Source organism: Homo sapiens, chromosome 9 (genome assembly GCF_000001405.40).
Source record: "Homo sapiens chromosome 9, GRCh38.p14 Primary Assembly".
Classification (NCBI taxonomy): Eukaryota; Metazoa; Chordata; class Mammalia; order Primates; family Hominidae; genus Homo; species Homo sapiens.
The window spans coordinates 81,880,128-81,900,475 of record NC_000009.12 but is presented as its reverse complement, the minus strand read 5'-3'; the positions used below and the strand labels follow the sequence as shown (position 1 = coordinate 81,900,475).

General features: G+C 42.7%; 1 long non-coding RNA gene, 1 other non-coding gene and 1 pseudogene across 3 annotated transcripts in view; 1 reads left to right on the top strand and 2 right to left on the bottom strand.

Annotated features, from left to right (window-relative positions):
- Positions 1–14,478, top strand: part of LOC105376105 (uncharacterized) — a 91,092-nt gene extending 76,614 nt beyond the window's left edge. For both annotated transcript variants that reach the window (NR_188610.1, NR_188611.1), the window contains exon 6: positions 12,571–14,478. This is a non-coding gene — a long non-coding RNA (uncharacterized LOC105376105). The remainder of the gene's footprint in view (positions 1–12,570) is intronic.
- On the bottom strand, positions 11,491–11,558 carry LOC124900283 (small nucleolar RNA SNORD95). The gene has a single exon (XR_007061914.1). It is a non-coding gene; the product is annotated as a small nucleolar RNA SNORD95 (small nucleolar RNA).
- Positions 14,878–14,980, bottom strand: RNA5SP287 (RNA, 5S ribosomal pseudogene 287; annotated as a pseudogene).

The window sequence follows — 20,348 nt, the reverse complement described above, 5'->3', positions numbered from 1 at the left end:
TGTCTCATTAAAGGCTTGTGATTAACTGTGAAAAGAAGGAAGAAAAAGGAAAGGAGAGGAGAGGAGAGGAGAGGGGAGCAGAGGGGAGGGGAGGGGAGGAGAGGAGAGGAGAAGAGAGGAGAGGAGAGGAGAGGAAGAACGGAGGAAGGGAGAAAGGGAGGGAGGGAGGGAGGGAAGCAGGGAAGGAGGGAGGGAGTAAGGAAGAAAGGAAGGAAGGAAGGAAATACAAAGGCTTTGTGTAGACAGTGCCACCAGCTCAGCTTATATAACAAAGCAGCTCACGTCCCAAAGTTCATCACACTTTTCCTCATCATATGATTAAATTTCATAGTGTCCTGGAGATTAGAGAGACAAGCACTCTGTTTTACTGTGAAACCTAATTCCAGACAGATTCAGTGATAGTCAATGGCAGAATCATTGCCAATATTCACAAAATGATACTCATTTCTGGCCACCAAACTAACTTCACTTCCACATCACAGATGTGTCTGCTCTAACCCAAGTGTGTGTGTGTGTGTGTGTGTGTGTGTGTGTGTGTGTGTATCTTTAATATTTGGAGCCCATCAAAATATCCCAAAGATGTCAGCTGACAAATTTAGTACATCTTTTACCCGACATTAGGTACTTATATTTTCAAAGAGGATTTTTTAAAGACCAAAGAGTCTTTCAAGGCCTGAATAATGATTTTGTAATGGCAAAACTTGAAACATCATGAGCAATAAAATAACTTAATGGAACAAAGGAAGTAGGCTCTTCCGCAACTAACCCTGGCTATTAGTTTCCCAAACACTTAAGAAACAGTTTTTTTCAATCAAGTTAGTAATGGATAACCAGCTGTCCATCCACCATATTCATTTCTCACCATTTTCACACAAATTGCATATCATAGCAAGCTATCCAATGGACTTGGTTAACTAAGTTCTTTTTTTTTTCTTTTTTTTTGAGACAGGGTCTTGCTCTGTCACCCAGGCTGGAGTACAGTGGTGAAATCATAGCTCACTGCAGCCTCAAACTCCCTGGCTCAAGTGGTCTTCCTGCCTCAGCCTCACAAGTAGCTGTAACTACAGGCACGTGCCACTACACCCAGCTAATTTTTGTTGTTGATTTTTTTTTTTTTTTTTTTTTTGTAGAGACAGGTTTCGCTATGTTGCCCAGGCTGGTTTTGAACTCCACAGCTCAAGCAATCCACCTGCTTCAGCCTCCCAAACTGCTGAGATTACAGGCATGATCCATAGTGCCCAGCCAACTTAGTTTCTTTGTAAGTGTGTTTACATAAAACCTCACCCTCAAGAATCTGAAATAGAACAGGCAGCACACATTTCTTTGTTCCCCAACTCTACTTACTGTATAGTATGAAATGCTGGGAACTCTAAGAAATGTAAGCTATGGTTCCTGTCCTAAAGAAACTGGCGTAGTCAACACAAAAATAAACAATAGAGCAAATTATCATTTGGCCAATGTAATTCCCACAAAAATGTAATAATACACATACCAAAACCACTCCACTTTTCACTGGTTTCCCTCTGCATTTAGGATAAAGACAAAGCTTCCTAAAAGGGCCTGTGAGAATCTGTGTGCTCTGGGAAACAGCCTTTCTTCTGGACATAGATCCACTTGCTCTCTCTGCTCCAGATACCCTGTCTTTCGGTTCCCTGTCTGAGTATGCTCCCTTCTATCTCAGGGCCTTTGAGCAGACTCTTTCCTGGGCCTGGAAGGCTCTGCACTCCCCTTTTCCCTAGACCATTTCTTTTCATCAGCAGCACTCACCCCACACTCCATATACTTCCACTGTACCCACTGGGTATCTTTCTTGGCACTTTTCACTACAGCAAATCTTTCATTCATTATATAATTATTTTATATTTGTTTCTCTTCAGTCTGAAGATAACCCAAGAAAAGAAAAAGAAAAAAATTTTTAAGTAAAAGATATGCATCTCTCCACTTTTATGCTTAGCATATAAATAAATGGACCCATGAATGAATAGTTATGTAAATAAATTAATCCATACATAACGTTTTCATGTTTCTTTCTTTTTTTTTTTTTTTTTTTTTGAGATGGAGTCTCGCTCTGTCGCCCAGGTTGGAGTGCAGTGGTGGGATCTTGGCTCACTGCAAGCTCCGCCTCCCAGGTTCATGTCATTCTCCTGCCTCAGCCTCCCAAGTAGCTGGGACTACAGGCACCCGCCACCACACCCGGCTAATTTTCTGTATTTTTTAGTAGAGACGGGGTTTCACCGTGTTAGCCAGGATGGTCTCGATCTCCTGACCTCGTGATCCACCTGCCTCGGCCTCCCAAAGTGCTGAGACTACAGGCATAAGCCACCGCACCTGGCCCATTTTTATTTCAATAGCTTTTATTTCAATAGGGGTACAGGTGGTTTTTAGTTACATGGATAAGTTCTTTAGTGGTGATTTCTAAGATTTTGGTGCACCCATTCCCAAAGTAGTGTACACAGTACCCAATATATAGTCTTATCCCTCACCCTTTTCCAACCCTTCCCCGCTGAGTCCCCAAAGTCCATTATATCATTCTGATACCTTTGCATCCTCATAGCTTAGCTCCCACTTATAAGTGAGAATATATGATATTGAGTTTTCCATTCCTGAATTACTTTACTTAGAATAAAGGCCTCCAGCTCTATCTAAGATGCTGCAAAAAATATTATTTCATTCTTTTTCAGGGCTAAGTAGTATTCTATGGTGTGTATATATACTACATTTTTTTTACCCATTCATTTCTTGATAGGCCCTTAGGTTGGTTTCATATCATTGCAATTGCAAATTGTGCTACTATAAACATGTGTGTACATGTGTCTTTCTCAAATGACTTTTTAAAATTAACCCATATCTTTTTATTGGATAGTAACATTTAATAAAGTTATTAAAAGTCTAAAGTTTGCTCAGCAAATATCTCTAAAATTCCCACTGTATACTCTGCTAGGCACTGGAATATAAAGATAAAGGCATTGTCCCTACGCATGCTGCCTACTGAGAGAGACAGACAAGAAAACAAATAATTACAATGCACCCTGCATTCTAGACAACAGAAATCCAAAGTGTCAGAAGATAGAGGCAAGAATTAACTCCTCCTGGAGGAGCTACAGAAGATTTCCTTTTACTTTATTTTAGTTTTATTTATTTTTTGTTTTCCATTTTTTATTTTCGATTCAGTGGGTACATGTGCTGCTTTGTTACATGGGTATATTACTTGATGCTGAGGTGTGGGGTATAAATGATCCCGTCACCCAGAGAGTGAACATAGTAACCAACAGGAAGTTTTTCAGCCCTTTCCCCATCCCTTCCACCCTCCTTGTGGAGTCCCCAGTGTCTATTGCTCCCATCTTGATGTCCATGAGTACCCAGTGTTCAGCTCCCTCTTACAGGTAAGAACCTGCAGCATTTGGATTTCTGTTTCTGTGTTAATTCACTTAGGATAATGGCCTCCAGCTGCATCCACGTTGCTGCAAAGAACTTGATTTTCTTCTTTTTATGGCTGCATAGTATTCCATGGTGTATATGTCCCACATTTTCTTTTTTTTTTTTTTTTTTTTTTTGAGACAGAGTCTCGCTGTGTCACCCAGGCTAGAGTGCAGTAGCATCATCTCTCACCACAACCTCTGCCTCCCAGGTTCAAGTGATTCTCCTGCCTCAGCCTCCCAAGTAGCTGGGACTACAGGTGTGCACCACCACGCCCAGCTAATTTTTGTATTTTTAGTAGAGACAGGGTTTCACTATGTTGGCCAGGCTGGTCTCGAGCTCCTGACCTCATGATCCACCCGCCTTGACTTCCCGAAGTGCTGGGATTACGGCCGTGATTTGTTTATCCAGTCCACCACTGATGGACACCTACGTTGATTCCAGGTTTTTGTTATTATGAATAGTGCTGCAATGAATATATGAGTGCATGTGTCTTTTTAGTAGAATGATTTATTTTCCTCTGGGTATATACCCAGTGATTAGATTGCTGGGTCAAATGATAGCTCTACTTTTAGGTCTTTGACAAATCTCCAAATTAATTCCACAGTGGCTTAACTATTAGGTTGGTGCAAAAGTAACTGAGGTTTTTGCCATTGCTTTTAATGGCAATAACTGCAGTTACTTTTGCACTAACCTATAATTTATATTCCCACCAACAGTGGATAAGCATTCCCTTTTCCCCACAGCCTTGACAGCATCTGTTATGTTTTTACTTTTTAGTAATAGTCATTCTGCCTGATGTGAGATGGTATCTCATTGTGGTTTTGATTTGAATCTCTCTGATGATTAGTGATGCTGAGCATTTTTTTGTACTTTTGTTGGCCATTTGTATGTCTTCTTTTGAGAAGTGTCTGTCCATGTCCTTTGCCTACTTTTTAATGGTGTTATGCTTTTTTGTGTGTTGATTTAAGTTCCTTATAGATTCTGGATATTAATCCTTTATTAGATGCATAGTTTGAGAATTTTCTGCCATTCTGTCAGTTGTCTATTTACTCTTTTGATAGTTTTTTTTTTCTTTTTCTTTTTCTTTTTTTCTGGCAGAAGCTCTTTAGTTTAATTTGGTCTCAATTGTCAATTTTTATTTTTGCTGCAATTGCTTTTGAGGACTTGGTCATAAATTCTTTGCCAAGGCTGATGTCCAGAGGGGATTTCTTAGATCTTATTCTAGAAACTTTATAGTTTGAGGTCTTACATTTATCTTTAATCCATCTTGAGTTAATTTTTGTCTATGGTGATAGGTAGGGGTCCAGTTTCATCTTTCTGCATATGGTTAGCCAGCTTTCCCTAGGGAAATGATGTATGAACTCTTGAAGAAGAAACAGAAGTGCAATGGGCTGAATAGTGAGAGAAGGCAGTGTATGCAGAAAATGCAACGTGGAAACGTAAAAAGGTTTGAAGAGCATGATATAGGGTGGAATAGCAAATCACTTGGTGCCACTATGACTCAGTGTGTAGAATGGGTATGACTTGAAATGGAATGGAAATTGTTGACAGAGGTGAAATGATGAGGACACGATAAATTTGAGGTAAGAATAAGACAACCAGGTGGGACTGAGTGGTAATTAGTGGGAGGTAGACAATAGAGGTTTGAGAAAGTGGTAAGAAAGAGAGAAATATTCTAAGGCAATGATGGTGGATATTTGGGAATCAGGGACTCCCAGTCTCTGACCACTTTTTCAAAATCATACTACATAGGGTAGTGCTTCCCACACTTCTCTAATGACAAAAATCACATGGTTATTAAAAATACATATTCCAGGGACATATCTCAATCTTAATGAGCATCCCCAAAGGAAAAGCCTGGAAATCTGTATGTCTAACCAACACTGCAGGTAACCCGTATTATCAGAGAAGCTTGAGAAATATGTTCAAAGGGAATTCCCTTTTCTCTTACAGATATGACTCACCATCCTGTTCCCCAGCACTGCCCACTCCCCCATCAGGGATGATGGCTACCCAAAACATCCACTTCAACCATTAACATAATGACCTTTATTTCCAATATGACAATAAAATATGACTAGACTAGCACAGAGAAAGTACTGGTCATTGGGATAATTATGCACACTACTGGAGGAAATTTTCAGCCAATTATGCTCAAAAGGTAGAGAAGTTGGGCGCAGTGGCTGACACCTGTAATCCCAGCACTTTGGGAGGCAAGGCAGGTGGATCAGTTGAGGCCAGGAGTTTGAGACCAGCCTGGACAACATGGTGAAACCCCATCTCTACTAAAAATACAAAAATTAGCCGGGCATGGTGGCACATGCCTATAATCCCAGCTACTTGGGAGGCTGGGGTGGGAGGATTGTTTAAGCCCAGGAAGTGGAGGTTGCAGTGAGTCAAGATCATGCCACCCTACTCCAGACTGTGTGACAGAGTGAGACCCTGTCTCAAAAAAAAAAAAAAAAAAAAGTAGAGAACTATGCTCTCAGAGCAGAAAGTGGAGGGCCCATGCACATCTTAGCATGGTAGCTATGGGTGACTTCTTAGGTCTCCAAACCTGTTTGCTTCTCCCCAGTTGATCATCAGTTCATCAGTTGAGGTCCCACATGCTGGGCAGTTGGCTACAGAATAATTGAAATTCTTTCCACACTTAGTTGTTGGGCTTCTTACTGACAGAGAATGGAGAAATGGTATATACCACATAACATGGCTCATTCTGAGGCCATCACACCCCATATACTGAAGAAAAAAACAAAAAGTCCCTTTCTGTGCTGTTGAAAAATTCTGTGCTGTTCAGAATTGGAGGTGGTGATACCGTAATCATGCGAATAGCAACCCTTCATTTAGCCCACACACTTTTCCTGTGACCAGCTGGGTCACCACTTGACTATCCACAACTACAGATATAAATGGAAACTGGGTATTGCAAGCCTGAACCATTTCTAATGGAAAGCTGCTGCCCTCCCTGGGAATCCAGCTGGGTGACTGCCTCCAACCTCAGAACTCACTGAAAAGCAATGCAGTAAAATCTCGTGTTGTTTATACAATTTCCTTCATGGTTTTAGCTAAGTAATTTCACAGCTGTGTTCCTCAGTTTCCTAACCTGTGATTCATCACAAATGCAATCTTTTTAACTTGTTTTATATAATACTATAAAAATAAGGGTTTTTTGTTTTGTTTTTGTTGTTGTTGTTTTGTTTTTTTTGAGATGGAGTGTCACTCTGTCGCCCAGGCTGAAGTGCAGTAGCAAGATCTCGGCTCAACCACTGCCTCCTGGGTTCAAGCATTTCTCTGTCTCGGCCTCCCAAGTAGCTGAGATTACAAGCGCTCACCACCACGCCCGGCTAAGCTTTGTATTTTTAGTGGAGACAGGGTTTCACCATCTTGGCCAGGCTGGTCTTGAACTCCTGACCTCATGATCCGCCAGCCTCGGCCTCCCAAAGTACTGGGATTACAGGCGTGAGCAACCGTGCCTGGCCTAAAAGTTGTTTTTAAGAGCTTGCTTGACCAAAATTACTTTGCTGGTATTAAACTACATTTAAACAGAAGTCTCTTTTTCCAGCAGGCAAGTATGTATAATATATTGAGGGGTTTTTTCTCTCTCTCTCTTTTTTTTTTTTTTTTTTTGAGATGGAGTCTCGTTCTGTTGCCAGGCTGGAGTGCAGTGGCACAATCTTGGCCCACTGCAACCTCTGCCTCCTGGGTTCAAGCAATTCTCCCACCTCAGCCTCCTGAGTAGCTGGGACTACAGGCATGCACCACCATGCCCAGCTAATTTTTAAATTTTTAGTAGTGATGACGTTTCACCATGTTGGTCAGGATGGTCTCGATCTCTTGACTTCGTGATCCGCCTGCCTCAGCCTCCCAAAGTGCTGGGATTGCAAGCATGAGCCACCGTGCCTGGCCTTTTTTCTCATTTTTAAATCTAACTCAATCAAGCTACATTTACAACAGGCACCCTATTTGAGGCAGTAGCAAATTGCTGGGAGGAGAAAACTTTGTTCAAAGGTAGAACAGCTGAGAGATAAATAACTAAGTCTATATTTTGTCTTTCTTTCCTGATGACATTTGAATGTCAGATAAGGTGCTCTTAATAAAAGAGGACTTGTTTTCCAAAATGTTGTACTACTGATTTGGCAAAGGAGGTTTTGGGGAAGGAAAGCAATGAAAATAGAGAGGGGAAAAAGAGTAGTTCCTGGGTGTTACTGAACTATATACAGATTTCTGAAAACATCAGAAATTGTATTTGGTAGATCATATGGATATATTTAAATGAGGATTCCAGGAAATGCTGGGCACTGCTTTCTAAATGACCATCTCTAAATTTTACTGATATTATGCCCACTCATAAAATGATTCATGGGGTGTTCCAAGGTTTCTTGCCCTTTGATCCACAGAAGAATTTCTCAAAGTGTGTTTACAATGGATGATGATAGGGATTATATAGAGAGAATAAAATAGGAGAGTCATGCCTAGAACTTGAGTACATATGGACACTTGATTTACGACAAAAAATGAAACTACCAGCAATGGAGAAAGAATGGTCATTACAATAAATGGTGCTGGGACAGCTAGATATACACAAGGTGGAAACTTGTGTTGAATAAAATATTGTTGGATACAAAATAATTCACACTGTGTATTTGGCATCTCATAGTACAGAGCAGTGCTTTTCAAAGTGTGGTTCATGGACCACTTGATCCAACTTACCGGGGTTATAGTTAAAGATGTACATTCTTGAGCCTTAGACTCATTGATTCTCTAGAAGTGAAACCTAACAATCTGCATTTTTGTTAAACTCCCTTAGATGATTTCCTTTTTTTTTTTTTTTGAGACAGAGTCTCGTTCTGTCACCCACGCTGGAGTGCAGTGGCACGATCTTGGCTCCCGGGTTCACGCCTTTCTTCTGCCTCAGCCTCCTGAGTAGCTGGGACTACAGGCGTCTGCCACCATGCCCGGCTAATTTTTTGTATTTTTAGTAGAGATGGGATTTCACCGTGTTAGCCAGGATGGTCTCGATCTCCTGACCTCATGATCCACCCGCCTTGGCCTCCCAAAGTGCTGAGATTACAGGCATGAGCCACCGCGCCTGGCCTAAACTCCCTTAGATGATTTTCAGTACACTAAAGCTTCAGCTTCATCAGCACAGTGTTTGTTTTGTTTTGTTTTGTTTTTTGAGACAGCGTCTCACTCTGTTTCCCAGACTGGAGTGCAGTGGCTCGATCTCGCCTCACTGTAACCTCTTCCTCCTTGGTTCAAGCGATTCTCCTGCCTCAGCCTCCTGAGTAGCTGGGATTACAGGCACGCACCACCACATCCAGCTCATTTTTGTATTTTTAGTAGAGACAGGGCTTCATCATGTTGCCCAGGCTGGTCTCGAACTCTTGGCCTCAAGTGATCCACCTGCCTCGGTCTCCCAAAGTGCTGGGATTACAGGCATGAGCCACCACACCCAACTGGCACAGTGTTTTTCATTTAGGAAAACAACCATCTGAATCCCACCTTTGCCACATATAGGCATATTTATTAATCCATCTGTATTTCAGTTTTTTCACCAATAAAGCAATGATAATTTACAAACTCATAGGCAAGTTATGATGATTAAGTGACATGCTACATAGACTGTGCTTAGCATAGTCCTGGTTTATAATAAGTACTCAGTAAATGTTAAAATTACTTTTCATATACAAAAACTTACTAGAAATAAAGTATGTTAAATCACTTACAAAAATTTTCCCTTGTCAAATTTTGACTTTGTATTGGTATTCCTGAATTATTTCTATATCTAAAGGACAAGTGTATCAACAGATAAGTGGAGAGTATTTGATCTTGAAGACTTGTTCAAGAGTTTTCAAGATCAAACCAGGGGGTACCACCTGGAGAACATAAGTATTCATTCACACATCTCACCAAAGAAAGCAAGATCCTATTCAAATGATGCAACTTCAGGGTTTGTGCATGTGCTGCAACTCCGGACATCTGCCCAGTGACCCACCTGAGCTAAATAAGCTTGGTGATTAATGCAATAGCAGATAAATTCACTCAGCAAACATTTACTGGAAAATTATGATATTCCAGGTACTCTACTAGATGCTGAGCATTGAGTAAAAAGATATGGTCCTTCTTCTCAAGTAACACATAGTCTATGAGATTTTGCAGCATATCATCTTCATATCTGCATGTACTTCTTTCTTTTTTTTTTTTGATACAGAGTCTCGCTTTGTCACCCAGGCTGGAGTGCAGTGGTACGATCTCGGCTCACTGAAACCTCTGCCTCCCGGGTTCAAGCAATTCTCCTGCCTCAGCCTCCTGGGTAGCTGGGACTGCAGGCACACACCACCATGCCCAGCTAATTTTTGTATTTTTAGTAGAAACTGGGTCTCACCATGTTGGCCAGGCTGGTCTTGAACTCTTGACCTCATGATCACCCCGCCTTAGCCTCCCAAAGTGCTAGGATTACAGGCATGAGCCACCATGCCCCGCCTACATGTATTTCTCAACCAATTTTTTTGTTGTTGTTAACATAGCTAAAAAACTAGAAAACATTTGTTTTATGGACAAGGTATTTATGGCTATTCCTTCTGAACTGGGGATAATAGAAAGATATTAAACAAGTGCACCTCGCTTCCTCTCCTCTTCCTGTCTTCAAAAGCAAATAATTTTCTTTGGAACTTTGAAGACATTGTTACATTTTCTTCTGGCATCCAGCACTGCTGATAGGAAGTGTGATGCAATGAAGGAAGGGAGCTACTCTGGTAGGGTGAAGGCTACCTTGGCAACTTCTCTGACCTGTGCAATTCTCTGCTTGCTCTTCAGTACTGCAGGATTATATATCTGTGCTGGGAAGTGGACAGCAAGCTCTAGAAAGTAACGGGCAAAGAGTTTAGGAATCTGGGCCCAACTGTGCCGAGATAATCAAAGCCACAGAGGCCTAAGATTCAAACAAGACATTTTGCAGGGATACTTTGTATTAGTTTTTAGGGCTGCCACATCAAAGTTTCACAAGCTAGGTGGCTTAAAACAACAAAATTTAGGCCGGGCACAGTGGCTCACGCCTGTAATCCCAGCACTTTGGGAGACCGAGGCAGGCGGATCATGAGGTCAGGAGATTGAGACCATCCTGGCTAACACGGTAAAACCCCGTCTCTACTAAAAATACAAAAAATTACCCGGGCGTGATGGCGGGCGCCTGTAGTCCTAGCTACTCAGGAGGCTGAGGCAGGAGAATGGCGTGAACCTGGGAGGCGGAGGTTGCAGTGAGCCGACATCACACCACTGCACTCCAGCCTGGGCGACAGAGCGAGACTCCGTCTCAAAAAAAAAAAAAAAAAAGTATTCTCTCATCATTCTGGAGGCTAGAAATTCAGCATCAAGGTGTCAGCAGGCGCATGCTCCCTCTGAAGGCTCTAAAGAAGAAACTGTTCCATGCCTCTCTTCTAGCTTCTGGTAATTGCTGGGAAACTTGGCTTTCCTTGGCTTCTGGCTGTATCACCCCAATCTCTGCCTCCATAGTCAATGGCTGTGACGTTGCCCTCCCTCTGTGTTCTCCCCACTTCCAAGGACACCAGTCATTTAATTTAGGGCCCTAATTCAGGACATTCACCTAAATTTAACTAATTATATCTACAAGGATTATATTTCTAAATAAGACACATCCTGAGGTTCCAGGAGGACATAAATTTTGGGGGGACACTGTTGTTCAACCCAGTACAGTCTCAGTAGAGCAGGGACTTTAGAAAAAGAAGGTAATAGGTTTAGTTGGAATCCAGGCAGGTAGGAAATGGAAGCAAAGACCAGACACAGAACCAGCTACACACTTGGCACCCCAGCATCCCTGAACCACACAGGGCTGGCTCTCCACAGGATTCCAACTTCACTAACAGGGTCAGTTTATCCATTACACACAGTAGGCACAATGCCAAGTTCCCATGATACTTTTAGAAACCCATGAAAATGTTTTAATCTCTTTCAAAATCTAAAAATAAATAAACAAATATATTCCAACCTGGATTATATTCATATGTATATCAATGCAGTCATAAAATTTAATTTTAATGCTTTTTTATGCAGTGGTTCAGAAACAGCCTCTGGGTTTCAGCACAGGCATTCAGATGGAATGTTGGGGTCATCACCACCCGAATTTTTTTTTTTTTTTTTTGAGATGGAGTTTCACTCTTATTGCCCAGGCTGGAGTGCAGTAGTGCTATCTCGGTTCACTGCAACCTCTGCCTCCTGGGTTAAGCAATTCTCCTGTCTCAGCCTCCCAAGTAGCTGGGATTACAGGCTCGCACCACCACTCCTGGCTAATTTTGTATTTTTAGTACAGATGGGGATTCACCATGTTGGCCAGGCTGATCTCGAACTCCTGACCTCAGGTGATGTGCTCACCTCGGCCTCCAAAGCGCTGGAATTACAGGTGTGAGCCACCATGCCCAGCCCACCACCCTAATTTTTTTTGTGTGTGTGTGACGGAGTCTCGCTCTGTAGCCCAGGCTGGAGTGCAGTGATGCTGTCTGGGGTCACTGCAAGCTCCTCCTTCCACGTTCACGCCATTCTCTTGCCTCAGCTTCCCGAGTAGCTGGGACTACAGGTGTTCGCCACCACGCCTGGCTAAGTTTTTTGTACTTTTTTAGTAGAGACAGGGTTTCATCATGTTAGCCAGGATGATCTCCATCTCCTGACCTCATGCTCCACCCACCTCGGCCTCCCAAAGTGCTGGGATTACTGGTATGAGCCACCGTGCCTGGCCCCACCACCCTAATTTTTAATATATTGTTTAATGAAGGAAGGAGCCCTTAGAAGGCAAAAGTGCCCAGAGCACACAAAAGTCATCACACAGCTGTGTTCACCAGTACACATGCTCATACACTTGGCCTGGAGAAGCTGGAGAGTCTGCATGGACTTTCACTCATCCCTGCTCTCAGGGTGGTCCATAGCCAATCACTGGTGGTGGCAGGGATATCACAGCCCAGCACCTTTGCTGATGGGGAGAATAACCTGTATGGGTATAATTCACTCTCCATAGTGCCCCATCAAATCACATCATTGCCTTGCTTCTTCCCCTACCTTATACTGTATCCCTCCTACCTTTGCAGCATTCCCTCACTAAATTACTTGCCTAAGAATTCCTATCTCAATCTCTGTTTCTAGGCAACATGACCTACGACGCTTTGGATCTCCATGGCAAGCATTGACACTGGCAAAAATTATCTAATAAACACTTATATTGAATGAGTAAACGTTAGAGAGACATGGAAGCAAGTATGAAAGACCTCGCCAGGACTTTAGATGGACTGAACTGATCATAAAAGAAACTTCAGTTCTTGGCCGGGCGCAGTGGCTCACGCCTGTAATCCCAGCACTTTGGGAGGCTGAGGTGGGTGGATTACCTGAGGTCGAGAATTCAAGACCAGCCTAGCCAACATGGTAAAACTGTCTCTACTGAAAATACAAAAATTAGCCAGGTGTGGTGACACGTTCCTGTAATCCCAGCTACTTGGGAGGCTGAGGCAGGAGAATCACTTGAACCCGGGAGGCGGAGGTTGCAGTGAGCCAAGATCCCACTACTGCACTCCAGCCTGGGTGACAGAGTGAGGCTCCATCTCAAAAAGAAAAAAAAAGAAACTTCAGTTCCTGACAAATTATAGACTGGAGACATAGAGAAAAGATAATGATGTGGATTCTTGAACAAGGGCACAAGACAATGAATTTGCTCATAAACGTGGGCAGATCTACCGATTAGACCTGAGGAACAATGCCTACTGTGTGCCCAGCACTGTGTAAGTTACTTTCATATGTACCAACAGACTAAGATAACAGTAAGCTGTCAAAACTGACTGAGGTCTCCTTGAATTCTCTCAGGCTTGATTGGCCCCAGAGCTGGGGATGAGATGAGCAAGCATGGACTATGAGGTTGGTTCAGATGAATTTTTGTGAACAATCGTCTGTTGATGAAAGGACTGCCTTTGAAGACAGTATCCTTGGTGATCTTAAGAGTATGGTCCTCTGAAGCCAGTGTTCAATAAGATGTAAAAATGAGAAGATTTCATGCCATGGAATTTCTATCATAGATATGGTTTTTTGTAATTTTAGCAGTTCCTCTCAACCTTTGCAGCAGTTTTGGAGCCGAGCAGATGGCAGGGGAGGGCTTAACTAAGTGGTGAAGTTTCAGCTGCAAAAGGCAATTCCTAGAATGACAATTCAGAAACTCATTTCCCCCAACACTTATCATATTGGCAGAGGGTTAGTGAATCTTTTTAGAAAAACAAGAAGAAGGCAATGCATCAGAATAAGGCAGCCTATGTTTGGTTAGGTTATGTGCAGGCAAACACTACTGAGTCCAAATCTTTCCTTGCATTGCAATTCCCAAGGCAACAGGCCAGTCTTGTTTGTAAATTAAATAATATCCAAAATAGCTAAAGCTTAGGATCTGAAATATAAGGCACCTCCAGCACATGGAGCAACTGCTACATGCATCCGAAACCAGGGGATGACAGTTTCAGCTAAGTTGTTCCAACCCTGGCTGGCATTAAGGACCCCTAGAGTTTCCAGCTATATATCATAAGGAAACAGCAAGTTTGTAGAAAGAGCATAATCTGTGCTCAAATCCTGCCTCTGATACTAAATAACTATATGATCTTGAAAAAATTACTTTTCCTCTCTGAGCCTCTTTCCACAAATGGTGGTGGGGTGGGGGAGGGGATAATTGCAATCTCAAAGGCTTATTATAAGAATTCAGTGTGATAATATACATGAAAGTAATGAGCAAACCACAAATCTTAAACTGGTATCCATTTTTCTTCATTTCTATTCTGCCTAGCTCGGCAGAAGTTTGTCAAAATATCTGTTGCTCTTTCAAACTGCTTCAGCTTTGGCTCATCCATAATTTTTTCTTTATCTTCAAACAACTTTAATTATAATGGTTTGCTTTTCTTAAAATTTCATAGCCCATATTCTTTGTGAATGAGACAGTGAGGTTTGGCTTTTGGGACTTTAGTTTTGATCCTTTACAATATGCATATAACAAAAACAATAAATGTATTTTATATTCTGAAGCTATAAATGTACCCTTTTTTAATGAGGCCTGTTTGTTTCAATTAAGCCTAAATTACTCAAGCACAACAAAGGAACTATCGATTGAGATTATTTCTGTGTCAAGTAACAGAAAAGCTATTCAACTGGCTTAAACAATTAAGGGAATTTACTGGCTCCTGTAACTGAAAAGTCCACAGGACTTTTCATGGCTTGATCCAGGGATGGTTTGGTCCAGGCTCTGGCTCAATTTTTCCTGCAATCCTCTCAGTTTTTTCTGCCTCTAAATGTTGGCTTTGTTCTCAGGCTGGCCTCATAAAATGACTGCTAACAGCATTCGTGATGGTTTCTCATTCACATCCAACACAGAGCTAAGGCCAAGGCCAGTTTTTAGGACCTCCATACAGAAGTCCCAAGCTTCACTCTGATTGGACTACCCTGATCCTATTTCTCCCATCCAAGCACTTCCCAGGCCCAACCCTGTTTAACTTCTGAGATCAAGCATGCGCAGGGTGATATGGCCATAGATTCTGATCCTATTTCTGTAGCTAGGGAAGTGCCATCCTCTAATTGACTTAAATTCGTATCAATCCCTATGACAAGGAAATGGAATTATTCTCAGTGATCTAGAAAATCAGGTCCCTCTTCTGGATCTGAATATGAGGTCCACTCCTCCTAAACATCATGGTTGTCACTCAAGGGAACTGAAATGGGTAGTAGAAGAATAATTTCAATGTCTGCTACAATTAAAAAATAATTTTGGCCGGGCGCAGTGGCTCACGCCTGTAATCCCAGCACTTTGGGAGGCCGAGGCGGGCGGATCACGAGGTCAGGAGATTGAGACCATCCTGGCTAACACGGTGAAACCCTATCTCTACTAAAAATACAAAAACTTAGTCGGGCATGGTGGCGGGCGCCTGTAGTCCCAGCTACTCGGCAGGCTGAGGCAGGAGAATGGCGTGAACCCGGGAGGCGGAGCTTGCAGTGAGCCTAGATGGTGCCACTACGCTCCAGCCTGGATGACAGAGCAAGACTCCATCTCCAAAAATAATAATAATAGTAAGAATAATTTTAGCAATTTAATGCAGGGCTCCTAAATGCCTTTTCTTCATTTTAAAATTATCACTTAGGCTGGGCACAGTGGCCCACGCCTGTCATCACAGCACTTTGGGAGGCCGAGGTGGGTGGATCACAAGGTCAGGAGTTTGAGACAAGCCTGGCCAATATGGTGAAACCCCATCTCTACTAAAAATACAAAAATTAGCCGAGCATGGTGGTGGGTGCCTGTAGTCCCACCTACTTGGGAAGCTGAGGCAGGAGAATCACTTGAACCTGGGAGGTGGAGGTTGCAGTGAGCCGAGATCACGCCACTGCACTCCAGTCTGAGCGACAGAGCAAGACTCTGTCTCAAAAAAAAAAAAAAAAGAAAAAAAAATTACTTATTTCACTATATTGGACTCTTTCCAAATAAAATATTAGGCTTTAATATCCAAAGGCAACCATAAACTAAGAGTCAACTAATGCAAAGCAAAATGTTAGGAGGCATTTCAAGACATCTAAGTTAGGAGTTTTTCTTGTTCTTTTTTTCTCTCCACTTCCTCTTGTTTTTCTTTCGCTCAATTTTGTTGATAATCTTTTCTTTTTCTCACTTTCTTCCTTCCATTTATATAGTCCTGTTTGCTTCTTTCAATATGCATTTTAATATATGCAAACATAACAGGATGTACGATTAGACATTTTCTGATCTCTCACAATTTTAGCTACAGTCTCAAAGCTGTTGACACAGGTGACAGAGTCCTCCCACAGAGGCATGGACAAACCCTCTCAGGAATTACTAAGAGGGGGCCAAACTTATCCACTGCAGTTCTCTCCAGCAGCCTGTAAAAAAGAAAACTAGAGATTCATTAGGAAGGAAGTTTTCAAAGCTGAATTTTTATGTAGAGATAATAAATGGATGGTCTCAGCCTGAGCCAAGTGAGGAAGGCTTTTAAGTGGATCACTCATAGAGTGCTGGTGCTTGTCAGAAGCTGGTATCTTATTCTTAAACTAGATATTTATCAAGAGCCACAATCTTGGAGTATAGGGGAGTCAGGAGAGGAAGGGAAAGTAAAAGAACAGATATTGCCTATCCTTCCCACTGCTGAACCCAAGCTTTGCATCAGGATTGTGTTGGGCAGAGGGTGGGAGGTTGTAGGAACCTTAAGTTGTATGAAGGATGAAAGATTTATTTAGATTGAACTGGGCTTCCAAGTACCTGAAAACATCACTCTCTACTGATATCCAAAAATAACCTTGCTAGGCTGGGCGCGGTAGCTCACGCCTGTAATCCCGGCACTTTGAGAGGCCAAGGCGGGCAGATCACCTGAGGTCAGGAGTTCAAGACCAGCCTGGCCAACGTGGTGAAACCCCCTCTCTACTAAAAATACAAAAAAATTAGCCGGGTATGGTGGCATGTGCCTATAGTCCCAGCTATTTGGGAGGCTGAGGCACACGAATCATTTGAACCCAGGAGGTGGAGGTTGCAATGTGCCAAGATGGCACCACTGCACTCCAGCCTGGATAACAGAGTGAGACTCCGTCTCAAAAAACAAAACAAAACAAAAGGAAACAAAAAACACAAAACCTTGTTGAAGCTGTTTTCCAGAGGTGAGGAAGAAAAATCCAAAAGAACATTATTTTACATTCGTTGTGGAAACACTTTTTAAAGTTTTACATTACTATTTTAAATTTCTGTATCATGGCCAGGCACAGTGGCTCACACCTGTAATTCCAGCACTTTGGGAGGCCAAGGTGGGCAGATCACTAGGTCAGGAGATGGAGACCATCCTGGCTAACACAGTGAAACCCCGTCTCTGCTAAAAATACAAAAAATTAGCCGGGCGTGGTGGCGGGCGCCTGTAGGCCCAGCTACTCAGGAGGCCGAAGCAGGAGAATGGCATGAACCCGAGAGGAGGAGCTTGCAGTGAGCCGAGATTGCGCCACTGCACTCCAGCCTGGGCAGCAGAGCGAGACTCTGTCTCAAAAACAAAACCTAACAAAACAAAACAAAACAAAAAAATCTATATCTCAAGTCATCAAGCAATACATTTTTTATGTAAAGAAAAATGCAGTTTCCTAATTGTACCCTACTAAATTCAGTTTATTTAATAAGCTTAGCACATAAATGCAAAGCATCATATATGTATCTTCAATATACTTTGTGAGCACACCTAAATAATGCATCAGTTGGGTCTGCAAGAAACCATGCTTTCAAAGAGAGCAATTAAGGAGAATTCAATGAATATACTGTTTACAAAGATGTGGGTGGGGCTCTTAAGGAATTAGCAAACCAACCAAAGACAGCAGGAGCCCTAGTAATGCTTAGGCTAGGGGCTTCCACCATCTTTGGTTGATTTGCCTGGGGGATCAGTGGGGTGGGGATGGGTGGGTTGGGGAGTAGAGGGAGTGGTTGCCTCAGATAGCCTTGGACACCAGCAAGCAAGGAAAGTACAGGCAGTGCTGGGCACAGAACAGAATTGAGAGAGAGATAAACAGCTCATTTCAATTGGCAAATGGTGAATATTTAGCACATATATTTCAATTTCTGTTTGGGCATGACGGCTGCTACCTGTGATCTCAGCACTTCGGGAGGCATAGGTGGGAGGCTCACTTGAGGCCAGGAGTTCAAGACCAAACTGAACAATATAGGGAGACCCCATCTCTACAAAAAAAAAAAAAAAAAAAAAAAATTAGCCAGGGTGGTGGTGTGAGCCTGTGGTCCCAGCTACTTGGGAGGCTGAGGTGGGAGGATCATTTGAGCCTGGAAGTTGGAGGCTGCAGTGAGCTATGATCCTGCCACTGCACCCCAGCTTGGGTGACAGAGTAAAACCCTGTCTCTAAAAAAAAATAGTAATAAATAATATATTTCAATTTCTCAATTCTGGCAAATGGAATTTTAATTGATACATGAAATACTCAAATTACTTGAACCTGGTAGGAATTTGTAGACTAAAGTAGAATTTTTCCCCTGAATTCCTTGGTAAGAATGAAACTATATTTCCCAAGGAAAGAAAAGTTAAGCTCAGGTCAATGAAATCAGCCTGCAAAGTGTAGAAAATGTATTTGAACAAAAATATTATTAGCCTAAAATCTAAAGTGAATATGGATAAATATATGATAGAAAATAATCACCAAGGCTGGGCGCGGTGGCTCACACCTGCAATCCCAGCACTTTAGGAGGCCGAGGTGGGCGGATCACCTGAGGTCAGGAGTTCGAGACCAGCCTGGCCAACATGGAGAAACCCTGTCTGTACTAAAAATACAAAATTAGGCTGGGCGCGGTGGCTCACGCCTGTAATCCCAGCACTTTGGGAGGCCGAGGCGGGCGAATCACGAGGTCAGGAGATCGAGACCATTCTGGCTAACATGGTGAAATCCTGTCTCTACTAAAAATACAAAAACGAAAATTAGCCGGGAGTGGTGGCGGGTGCCTGTAGTCTCAGCTACTGAGGAGGCTGAGGCAGGAGAATGGCCTGAACCCGGGAAGCGGAGCTTGCAGTGAGCCAAGATCATGCCACTGCACTCCAGCCTGGGTGACAGAGGGAGACTCTGTATCCAAAATAATAATAATAATAATAAAATAAAAATACAAAATTAGCCAGGCGTGGTGGCCCATGCCTGTAATCCCAGCTACTCGGGAGCCTGAGGCAGGAGAATCACTTGAACCCGGGAGGCAGAGGTTGCAGTGAGTTGAGATCGCGCCATTGCACTCCAGCCTGGGCAACGAGAGCGAAACGATGTCTCAAAAATAAAAATAAATAAATAAAATAATAATAATAATCACCAAAACAAAATCTCAGAATAAAATTGCTGAAAATGGAAAGTGAAGAAATCACGATCCTATGTAAGACCACAAATGGAGGCCAGAAGCCGGGGACCCGTTTCACCCCACACCAGCACCTCCACATCTAACATTCAAGTCCTGCCCTCCACAACGTTTTTGCTGTGACAGGCCTTCAGTAGTATGTTTTCTGACTCCTGACATCTAAAATCATGCTATTATAAAATCATCTGTACTCCAAGGAAAACAGGAAGCTTTGTCCTTCATAGCATCTCAGAAGATCATCTCCTCCGCGTCATTTTTCCATGACTCTTTGCATTCTCATTTTTGTGAAGGCAAAGTAGGTCACCTAAATGTTCTACACGTTTGTTTTTTCTCACTGATGCAATAGGGACATGAGATATGGTCAATTAAACTCTTTCCCCAACCTGCCCCTCCAACTGGTTCCCACATTCCAACCATGAAAGTATCTCTTTCTAACCTCAGTGAAACTCAAGAGTTCTGTGTTTTCTAGACAGCTTTCTTCCCTCTCCCCAACACTCACACCCACTCATAAGCACATCTTCCCTCACCCTCCCAGTTTTAAAGTCCTCTCTTTTCTCAAACTCTCATGAGTTTCACCCCATACTACACCCCCCTATCCCCAGTGTGACCAACATAATCAAACATCTCATCTCTGCTCACCTAGTATTTAGTCCACAAACTTTAGAATGGTCCTTATCACCCGCATTACAGTTGCTGTTTATGGGACCATCTTTCCCATGAGACTGTGGGCTTTTGGGGGCAGAAACTGTGCCATTTATTTTTATGTCCCCAGTGGCAGAGGGAGAAGGTTCATAATGTATGCTAAAAGAAAGAAAATAAGTCTGAAAAGGTTTTCAAGCTTTCTTAAACGTTTCCTAAGCACTGGAAGTCACCCTGTGCCCGCTCCTCTGCTCACTGCTTCCTTAGAGCCTGGACGACAAGGCGCTGGCTGACTTCTGGGCTTCCCACTTTGACCCTGGCAAGGACCCCGAAATTGGGTCAAGGCCACCTCCAAATTCCTTTAAAACAAACACAGGGAACTGCATGTAATAAA